The sequence below is a fragment of the Homo sapiens genome, chromosome 11, assembly GCF_000001405.40.
Source record: "Homo sapiens chromosome 11, GRCh38.p14 Primary Assembly".
Classification (NCBI taxonomy): domain Eukaryota; kingdom Metazoa; phylum Chordata; class Mammalia; order Primates; family Hominidae; genus Homo; species Homo sapiens.
The window spans coordinates 45,735,244-45,745,993 of record NC_000011.10 but is presented as its reverse complement, the minus strand read 5'-3'; the positions used below and the strand labels follow the sequence as shown (position 1 = coordinate 45,745,993).

Below are 10,750 nucleotides of genomic sequence, written 5' to 3'. Positions count from 1 at the left end.
TTATTTATTTATTCATTTTTTTATTTTTGAGGGTCCAGTGTGTTTGGGTGAGGTTCCAGGCCGGATGGGAACACGGTGGGGTTAGAGGCAGATATACCTGGGCTCCAAGGTTATCTCTGCCACTTACGAACTGTGGGTTTGAGGCAACTTACCCTGAACCTGTGTTTCCTTATCTCCACTGTGGGGATAGTAACAGAAAAAATACTTCGTAGTCTTGTTCAGGATGAGAAAAATGTCGGTGAAGTGCCTAGCCCATAGTAGGTGCTGGTTAAACAGGATCATTTTCTTAAGCTGCAGTATATTCAGTGACAGCAGCTCTTCCCTTGACCCCACTTCCTGAATTCCTGTCCTTATGGAACTTTCTGGGAAGCTCTGGCCTTTGTCTCTGACACCACTGGGCCCTGGGCTCTGTGTGGACACACTGCATATTAGCACAGTGGCTCATGGCACCTACACCATTTCAGAGACATCCGAATAATTCCATTTTGGGATTTGTGCTGAGATGGTTTCAGTGGCTTTGCTTGGTTTCTAAACAAAAGTTATTTAGGTGGGAACAGATTCAACTTGAGGTTTTCGTGATTTTCACACGACCTTTAAATACCCCTGATTTGCAGTTTCCTTCTTTCTCTAATGAAAAACTGGATCGTCTTGTTAAAAAGAAACTTAATGTGATGCTGTTGGCCTGCAAATCTCCTAGCCTCCCTCTCTCCGTTTCATTGGCTCCCACCCTCTCCTGTCTCCCTTGGCTGCTCCACCCACCCTCTACCCCGGCAGTCCTCAGCTGGCCTCCATCCACTGCTCCCTCCGTGGGAACGGCTCGCTCAGAATTCACCAAGGCCTTCCCGGTAGCCACATCCAGAGATTTTGTGCAACTTCCTTCTTCAGGCTGAATTTAACCCCTCTTCTTGAAATGTTCTCGTTCTCTGGCTTTGGGACACAAAAGAAGCCTACTTACTTGTTCCCTAAAGTTCAGTCCTTGCTTTTTTTTTTTTTTTTTTTTTTTTTTTTTACGTTATTGCTTTATTCTTTACGCCTTTAATGATCACCTCTATGTGGATTATTTTCTTAGCTCTCTTCCCATTTCAAGTGTCTTCCTGGAGTCTTACTCTTGAGTCCTGATGGACTACTGGCCATTTTCCCTGAGGCATCTTGAAGGTACCTCACCTCTAAGACAGATCCAACCATCTGTCCTGGCCCTCTGCCTTTACTCCCTCCCTTAATCCATGGCACTTGAAACCCTGGAGTCTTCTTCCCTTCATTACCACCCTCCCTTCAGCATTTTTTTTTTTTGAGACAGCGTCTCGCTTTGTTGCCCAGGCTGGAGTGCAGTGGCGCGATCTCAGCTCACTGCAAGCTCTGCCTCCCAGGTTCACGTCATTCTCCTGCCTCAGCCTCCCCAGTACTCAGCCTCCCCAGTAGCTGGGACTACAGGCGCCTGCCACCACGCCTGGCTAATTTTTGTATTTTTAGTAGAGACGGGGTTTCACCTTGTTAGCCAGGATGGTCTCGATCTCCTGACCTCGTGATCCACCCACCTTGGCCTCCCAAAGTGCTAGGATTACAGGCGTGAGCCACTGTGCCCGGCCTCCCTTCAGCTTTTACATCATGAACCAGTCCACATCCTCTGATCTAATCAGAGTGGCCTCCGCACTGTCCCCAAACATGCAGTCACTCCTGTGTTATGCCTGGAATATCTGGGAGGGCACACTTTCACAGTCACATTTTTCAAAAAGAGAGCCTTTGTGTTAACCCATGTATATATTTGCTCAGAGACCAAGGATCGTGCAAAACATCCTTTGTCCCATCAGTCTCCCAAAGCCGGGCCACAGACTGTGTGTATGGCCTCATCGCCGTGCAGAGGACTTGTCCTTCTTCTTGGGGTCAACTTGACCAAAGGTGTGTGCAGGGGGAGATGGTACTTCTAGGTTCACAGTTCAGCCCTCTCCTCAGAGTCTTGGCTCCACCCTGCAGAGGAGACGTTAGAGCCTTCAGAATTTAAATTCTCCAGATTCTTAGAGCATGTCTAAAACAAATCAACTATTCTCTTGCTCCTTGATGCATTATTATGCTAATAAAGTCGCTGTCTTTTTACTTAATCTTGCCAAGGAGACTTTCTCCTCAAGGATGGGGAGGGGAGGCACATTCCATCCCGCCATGCATCTCATACTCTTCCCCACCTGTATCTTGGTTTATGCTGTTCTGGTCATCTATTTGGGATGTATACTTCCCTCCCATCGCTGTAATAACAATCTACCTATTCTCCAAGGCAGGGAGATCTTAACCACTTTTGTGCCATGGGCACCATTTAATGGTCTGATAAAGCCTATTAGGCCTGTCTTCCAAAAAATGATTTGAAAGATATAAAATACACAGGATTATAAAAGAAACTGAAAACAGTTACTAAAGTATTCAAAAAACCAAATTTATGATATAAGAATACTTTCCTTTATTAACATAAAAAAACACAATTTCTTTTCTCTTTTCCTTCCTTCCTTCCCTCCTTCCTTCCTTTCCCTTCCTTCCTTCCTTCCTTCCTCCCTCCCTCCCTCTCTCTCTCTTTCTCTCTTTCTCTCTCTCTCTCTTCCTTCCTTCCTTCCTTCCTTCCTTCCTTCCTTCCTTCCTTCCTTCCTTCCTTCCTTTCTTCCTTTCCTCTTTTTTTTTTTTTTCAGGGTCTCTCTCTGTCACCCAGGCTGGAGTCCAGTGGCACAATCTTGCCTAACTGCAGCCTCGAACTCTTGGGCTCAAGAGATACTCCCACCTCAGCCTCCCGAGTACCTGGAACCACAAGCATATGCCACCATATCTGGCTAAATTTTCTATTTTTTGTAGAGATAAGGTCTCGCCCAGGCTGGTCTCAAACTCCTGGGCTCAAGTGATCCACCTGCCTCTGCCTCCCAAAGTGCTGGGATTACAGGCATGAGCCACCATGCCTGGCCAAAAAGCCACTATAATTTCAAAGTACAGTAGTGATGAACATAAATTATATTTTGTTCCTCTCTCCAATATCTGCAACATTACGTGTGATAGCAAAGTATCTGTTACATCTACTTCTGTGGTTTGTAGCCTACATTTATAATGGAAGAAAATGTGAAGTTTCAGAGATCAGTGAATCTGAAGATGTAAAATTTTCCTCATCTAAATTCTTCTGTCCATGAATTCTATGAGTTCTTAATGGGAGGCCCCTGTCAAGGACATTAACTCCTCCTTCCTTAATTCAACCCTTCTTGACTACCACACTTCTGTTGGAGTTTTCCCTCATGCTAAACTCTTACAATAGTTATTTGCCTATTCATTCAACAAACATTGATCAAGATTGCTCATACCTGCGCAAGTCACTGTGCCAGATGTGGGGAGCCCACATCATGCTAAGCAAGAACCAATTTTACCAGTAGTGGCAAGAGACAGACCTATTCCCATCCAGACATAACCCTAAACATAGCGCAGAAAGCAGATGGGAGAGCTTTAAACAAAGGTCCGAAGTATCCCAGAGAAGCAGAAGTTAACATTTCAACTTGGCGAAGAGATGGAGGAGTGAAAGGTTCCATGAGGAAATTGGCATATGAGCTTGGCCTGGTAGAGGGAATAGGATATAAACAATTTTGACATAGTTTAATTAGATCTCCCTGGTATTTTTCCTTTTTCTGTCTTGCCACAAGTAAATACAAAGTTTCTAGCGGTGGAGATCGCATCTTTTTTTTTTCCTTAGATGGAGTTTCACTCTTGTCACCCAGGCTGGAGTGCAATGGCGTGATCTCGACTCACTGTAACCTCCGCTTCTTGGGTTCCAGCAATTCTCCTACCCCAGCCTCCCGAGTAGCTGGGATTACAGGCGGCCACCACCATGTGCAGCTAATTTTTGTATTTTTAGTAGAGACCGGGTTTTGCCATGTTGGCCAGGCTGGTCTCGAACTCCTGACATCAGGTGATCCACCCGCCTCCGACTCCCAAAGTACTGGGTTTACAGGTGTGAGCCACTGCACCAGGCCGAGATTGCATCTTAATATGCTTGTTGATTAATAGCATTTTTGTAGAATGTAAGTTTCTGTATTAGTTAGTTATTGCTGTGCAACAAACCACCCCCAAACCCATGGCTTTAAATGATAGCAAGTTCTTTCTCATGGGTGTGCTGACCTGGGCCAGGACTGGCTGTTGTTAATTGGACTCTGTGGTCACTGGCAGCTTGGCAAGAGGCTGGCTGGTCCAGGGTGGCCTTGGCTGGGATGACTTGGCTGTCCTCTTCTTTTTCAAGTTGTGTTTGCATCAAGTTTGCTGCTGTACCATTGGCCAAAGCAAGTCACAGGGCCAAGCACAGAGTCAGTGTCGGAGGACACTGCCCGAGGACAAGGGAAAAGGGAGGCATAAAAAAATGTGGCCATTCATAGAGTCAATCCATTATCATCTTCACAACTTAAATCTTTAGCCTTAAATCCTTGGTGGAATGGGACAGATCTAAATCAATAACAAAATGCATAAGTAAGATAGTTAAAGTACAGGGTGGCAATTTAGAAATTCAACTAGTGATGGGTCTTCTCCTGTGGCTATATCCTAAACGTTTGAAGAATGTTATCCACAGAGGTTGACTGGGTCATGCTTTTACTATTATTTTTTAACCGATGCAAACCCATTGAACTGTCTTTTCATGTTTGATGTTCCATCAGTTAAGCATCCCACATGATTTTTCATAGAGATATTTTCTTTCTCCCTGAGGACATCTGCAATAGTCCAGAACACACTTTTCCTGGTGCTTGACTCTAAGTTGCTATAAATATCAGACATTCTGTCAGCAGCTCAGGGTCACAGCTCAGGTTTCCTGAGCTAATATCGCTTGCCCCTATGCCTTGAGTTGTGTCAGTTAAAGGCAGTGGCTGGGCAGGCAAAGTGAAGTGCAAAATACAGGTGAGAAAATGTGTTTTCTGAGTAACTGGGCAAAACATATATGTGTGTGTGGGTAGGGGGCAAATTTATCCATAACGGCAGTGTTGAGCTTGGTGTGTGGGGTCACGCAGACCTGAGTGTGAATCCTGGTTTACCTTTTATGGGCCATGTGACCTCTGGCAGGTGGCTTAAATCTCTGAGCTCCAATTTCCCCTTATCTGTGAAATGGAAGGAACCCACATAGATTGACTTCTCAGTTTGTGGCGAGGATTACATGAACTACTATGCTTATAAGGTAAGTGCTCAATAAGTGTTCAGTGTTATTTCTTACAGAGGGTGAAATTATCTGAATGAAGTTACCAATAGTTGGAATACAGTTCTCTGTTAGTTCAGATAACAGAGCCTAAGAGGCTTGCCTTTTGACCTTTGTCTTGCTGCTAACTAGAGGACTGTATGAGCCTCAGTTCTCATCTATAGAGTAGAGTGATTCACATTGTCCTGCACTGAATTCACAGTCTTGTTTTGGCAATCAAATAGCATATTGCACAGGAAATTCCTTTGCAAAAATAATTTAAAATCTCCTTGAACACATACTGCACACATCTCACTAATATGTGGAATATAAAAAAAGTCAGATGCTTAGGAGCAGAGAGTAGAATGGTGGTTGCCAGGGGCTGGAGGATGGGGGATATGGGAACAGGTTGGTCTAAGGGTACAAAGTTCCAGATATGCAGAATAAGTTCTGGAGATCTAATGGTGACTACAATTAGCAATAGTGTATTGTGTATTTGAAATTTGCTGAGAGTAGATCTTAATTGTTCTCACCAAAAAAAAAAAAAAAAAAAAAAATTGACTTTGGGAGGCCCAGGTGGGCAGATCACTTGAACCCAGGAGTTTGAGACCAGCCTGGGCAATACAGCAAAACCCTGCCTCTACTGAAAATACAAAAAATTAGCCAGATGTGGTGGTATGTCCCTGTAGTCCCAGCTACTCGGGAGGCTGAGGCAAGAGGATTCCTTTAGCCCAGGAGGCGGAGGTTGCAGTGAGCTAAGATCACGTCATTGCATTCCAGCCTGGATGACACAGTGAGACCCTGTCTTGAAGGAAAAAAAAAAAAAAGGAACTATGTGAGGTGATGGATATGTTAGATAATCAGCTTGAGTGTGGTGAACATTTTGCAATATATACACATATCAAAAATCACATTGCATGCCTTAAATATATATAATTTTTGTCAATTACATCTCTATAAAGCTGGGGGAGAAAAAGAAGACCCAGAACTGGGCAACAGCACTCAATCCTGATCAGTCTGCACACCCAAGACCCCAGCATTTCTGGAAATTTTGTTCTTTTGTTTCTGGTTTGATTCTACTTCTTTTGAGTCCCAAGAAACTGCCTGACCAAATCCAGCCTCTGTACACAGTGGGTCTGGCTCACTTCGAGGTCTGTCATCTTTAGCCTGTAAGTCTCTGAACTCTCCAGAAGCCCCTCTTCGAGGCTTGTGATTCTTATTTGGAATATGCTCCACTCTAACACATTTGTCAGTGTTTTTCTTTTTGAGTGCACTTGTTTTTACCTCAAAAACTGAACTCGCTGGCACGGTGGTGAGCACTTTTAATCTCAGCTACTTGGGAGGCTGTGATTGAGGCAGGAGAATCCCTTAAGCCCAGGAGTTCGAGACCAGTCTGAGCAACGCAGCGAGATCCTGTCTGTAAAAAGATAAAAAATAATAAAAAAGACAGATGTGAATTGACATAAGACCTGTGGTTTGAATACTTGTTTTTTGGTTTAAGTATGTTATGATGGTCATATTTTCAGTTACATTTTACCCATAAAAACAATGTTTTAAATCCAGCAAAAATAGAGTCTTTGCCGCCGCGCCGGCGAGCGCCGCCCGGGAGGCAGCGGCTGGAGGAGCGGACGGGCCCCGCGGGGCCCGAGGGCAAGGAGCAGCCGCCTGCCTTGGCCTCCCAAAGTGCCGAGATTGCAGCCTCTGCCCGGCTGCCACCCCGTCTGGGAAGTGAGGAGTGTTTCTGCCTGGCCGCCCATCGTCTGGGATGTGAGGAGCCCCTCTGCCTGGCTGCCCAGTCTGGAAAGTGAGGAGCGTCTCCGCCCGGCCGCCATCCCATCTAGGAAGTGAGGAGCGCCTCTTCCCAGCCGCCATCACATCTAGGAAGTGAGGAGCGTCTCTGCCCGGCCGCCCATCGTCTGAGATGTGGGGAGCGCCTCTGCCCCGCTGCCCCATCTGGGATGTGAGGAGCGCCTCTGCCCGGCCGAGACCCCGTCTGGGAGGTGAGGAGCGTCTCTGCCCGGCCGCCCCGTCTGAGAAGTGAGGAGACCCTCTGTCTGGCAACCACCCCGTCTGAGAAGTGAGGAGCCCCTCCGCCCGGCAGCTGCCCCGTCTGAGAAGGGAGGAGCCTCTCCGCCCGGCAGCCACCCCATCTGGGAAGTGAGGAGCGTCTCCGCCCGGCAGCCACCCCGTCCGGCAGGGAGGTGGGGGGGGGGTCAGCCTCCCGCCCGGCCAGCCGCCCCATCCGGGAGGGAGGTGGGGGGGTCAGCCCCCCGCCTGGCCAGCCGTGCCGTCCGGGAGGGAGGTGGGGGGGTCAGCCCCCCGCCCGGCCAGCCGCCCCGTCCGGGAGGTGAGGGGCGCCTCTGCCCGGCCGCCCCTACTGGGAAGTGAGGAGCCCCTCTGCCCGGCCAGCCGCCCCGCCCGGGAGAGAGGTGGGGGTGTCAGCCCCCCGCCCGGCCAGCCGCCCCGTCCGGGAGGGAGGTGGTGGGGGTCAGCCCCCGCACCCGGCCAGCCGCCCCGTCCGGGAGGTGAGGGGCGCCTCTGCCCGGCCGCCCCTACTGGGAAGTGAGGAGCCCCTCTGCCCGGCCAGCCGCCCCGTCCGGGAGGGAGGTTGGGGGGTCAGCCCCCCGCCCGGCCAGCCGCCCCGTCCGGGAGGGAGGTGGGGGGGGTCAGCCCCCCTGCCCGGCCAGCCGCCCCGTCCGGGAGGTGAGGGGCGCCTCTGCCCGGCCGCCCCTACTGGGAAGTGAGGAGCCCCTCTGCCCGGCCACCACCCCGTCTGGGAGGTGTGCCCAACAGCTCATTGAGAACGGGCCAGGATGACAATGGCGGCTTTGTGGAATAGAAAGGCGGGAAAGGTGGGGAAAAGATTGAGAAATCGGATGGTTGCCGTGTCTGTGTAGAAAGAAGTAGACATGGGAGACTTTTCATTTTGTTCTGCACTAAGAAAAATTCCTCTGCCTTGGGTTCCTGTTGATCTGTGACCTTACCCCCAACCCTGTGCTCTCTGAAACATGTGCTGTGTCCACTCAGGGTTAAATGGATTAAGGGCGGTGCAAGATGTGCTTTGTTAAACAGATGCTTGAAGGCAGCATGCTCGTTAAGAGTCATCACCAATCCCTAATCTCAAGTAATCAGGGACACAAACACTGCGGAAGGCCGCAGGGTCCTCTGCCTAGGAAAACCAGAGACCTTTGTTCACTTGTTTATCTGCTGACCTTCCCTCCACTATTGTCCCATGACCCTGCCAAATCCCCCTCTGTGAGAAACACCCAAGAATTATCAATAAAAAAATAAATTAAAAAAAAAAATAAATAAATAAATCCAGCAAAAATAAAAATAAAAAATAAAATCCCCTTGAATACATTTGAGGTAATGTTGTAGTTTTCAGCTCCTCCCACGAGAGATTTTATGGAGTGCCTAACTGTGCTACCCGGGTGCTGCTCCTGTCGTTAGTGGTGGCACCCAGGAGGAATTAAAATTACAAGAGTGTTTCCTTCCAGATGTTGTTGCTACAGGCTCAAGGTGCTCTTTTAACTGGGACATCAGGCTTTCTTGAAATAGACAAGAATTCTAGAAACATGACATTGTGCCTGATTCATCGCTTCAACTTGCCACTGACTCATTCTCTCCTTGATAGGTTATTCAACAGTAACTTTAATTACATCATTTACTTATTGTTTTCTTCCTTGATTTATTCTCTTTCTACAATTCTTGTTTATCATCTCAGTGATTGGACCATCTCACCTCTGAGACTTGGGTAGAATTCTGTGGACTCTGGAAATAGACATGGAGGTTTTCATGTATCTCTGTTAATGTGTACAAACACCCCCAGGCTTGTACACTTGAAATACATCAGTAGGAAGGGTAGTTCTCAATTTGCTAGTGTTTCACACAGCTTGTCTTATTTAATGATCTCAGCTGCCCTATGAAGTAGATACCATCCTATTAAAAAATGCAGGAGCAGAGGCTCTGAGAGGGGACTGTAACTTACCCAAGATCATGTGGTAGATTGCAAAACTGGTTCCAAATCCCTACCCTTCCCTGTACGCACACCTTTTGCCATTCATCTGCAATGTCCTTTTCTGATTCTGGGCTCAGCAATATAACTTGCTCTGGCCAACAGGATAACAACAGCAAATGTGATGTAAGCAAAAGCTTGAGAAATACTTGTGCAACTAATCATGTTTGCCTTCTCTCTTGTACCTGTGCCATTGCCATGAGAACATGCCTGGGCTAGGATTAGAGACACTTGGAGCAGAGCTGAGTCATCCCAGCTGTCCCAGTTGAGGCCAGCCTAGGTCAGTCGATGGCAACCAAGCCCTAAGCATGTTAGTGAGCCCAGCCATGATCAGCACAACCACCTAGCCAACCATCCCAGACCTGTGATCAATAAAGCCTTACTATTCCATACCACCTAGGTTTTGTGATTATTTATTTCACAGAATTATTATGGCAGTATGTAACTGATAGAAGCGGTGTACAGGGAAGAGTATTTGTTAGTCCGTTTTCACACTGCTGATAAAGACATATGCGAGACTGAGCAATTTACAAAAGAAAGAGGTTTAATGGACTTACAGTTCCACGTGGCTGGGGAAGCCTCACAATTGTGGTGAAAGGTGAAAGTCACATCTCACATGGCAGCAGACAAGAGAAGAAGAGCTTGTGCAGGGAAACTCCCCTTTTAAAAACCATCAGATCTCATGATACTTATTCACTATCATCAGAATAGCCTGGGAAAGACCTGTCCCCATGATTCAGTTACTTCCCACCGTGTCACTCCCACAACAAGTGGGAATTCAAGATGAGATTTGGGTAGGGACACAGCAAAACCATATTAGAGCAGATCTCTGGAATTGGGCAGGCCAAGGTTTGAATCCCATCTGTTATTTGGAGTGTGTGTTTCTTTTTGAGACTAATCTCCTTACCCTTGAAATGAGGTAATATACTTCCCTCATAGGGTTGCTGGGAAGATTAAACACGAGGTGAAGTAAATAAAGCCCCAGGGACATAAGCAAAAAATAATGGCTTCTCACAGCAATGCTCCAGAACATACAACAAGGGAATACTGGGCCCAGTCCCAGGACTATCCAAGTGTGAAGCCAACACCTTTTCACATCAACTCCAAGGTAAGGATTAAGAACAGAATGGCCTGGTTCTAATCTTACCATGAAATGCTGCTCCCCTGAATCTTCCATTGCAGTATAGAGAGCAGGACAGGCCTTTAAAAAATTAATGTTGCTTAAATTTAGGAGCCTGAAAAAAAAGCCAAATCCAAGATTTTCCTTTGGACTTGTGGTTTTGCCAGATAGGTGGCAGTGATTTCGGGAAGGAGGGTTGCTTTTGTCCTGGGTATGGGTGTGTTTCAAAGTCCTCCGGGCACAGTTGGGAGCAGGGGCCAGCCTGGCTGCGTTTGCCCTGACTCTGTTGGTTGCCCCTCTGCATGCACATGCATTTTTGATGACAGATCATTCAGGAAATGTGAATGTTTCCCTGGGAGGCTTTGCTTTTTTCACCTGGCCTTCTTTTCTGGGCCTCCTGTGGGGCTGCCCTTTCCCTTCCTTTGAAGCCATTGTCTTCTTGACATGA

The 10,750-nt window shown here is 47.5% G+C and overlaps 3 annotated features.

Moving 5' to 3' along the window:
- Positions 861 to 1,360: an enhancer, noted in NCBI's record as "H3K4me1 hESC enhancer chr11:45766185-45766684 (GRCh37/hg19 assembly coordinates)". NCBI's record gives its function as "activates a minimal SCP1, AML or CMV promoter by ChIP-STARR-seq in naive H9 embryonic stem cells {active_cell/tissue: H9 hESC(naive)}" and the evidence as "EXISTENCE:reporter gene assay evidence [ECO:0000049][PMID:30033119]".
- Positions 1,361 to 1,862: an enhancer, noted in NCBI's record as "H3K4me1 hESC enhancer chr11:45765683-45766184 (GRCh37/hg19 assembly coordinates)". NCBI's record gives its function as "activates a minimal SCP1, AML or CMV promoter by ChIP-STARR-seq in naive H9 embryonic stem cells {active_cell/tissue: H9 hESC(naive)}" and the evidence as "EXISTENCE:reporter gene assay evidence [ECO:0000049][PMID:30033119]".
- Positions 1,999 to 2,565: an enhancer, noted in NCBI's record as "H3K27ac-H3K4me1 hESC enhancer chr11:45764980-45765546 (GRCh37/hg19 assembly coordinates)". NCBI's record gives its function as "activates a minimal SCP1, AML or CMV promoter by ChIP-STARR-seq in naive H9 embryonic stem cells {active_cell/tissue: H9 hESC(naive)}" and the evidence as "EXISTENCE:reporter gene assay evidence [ECO:0000049][PMID:30033119]".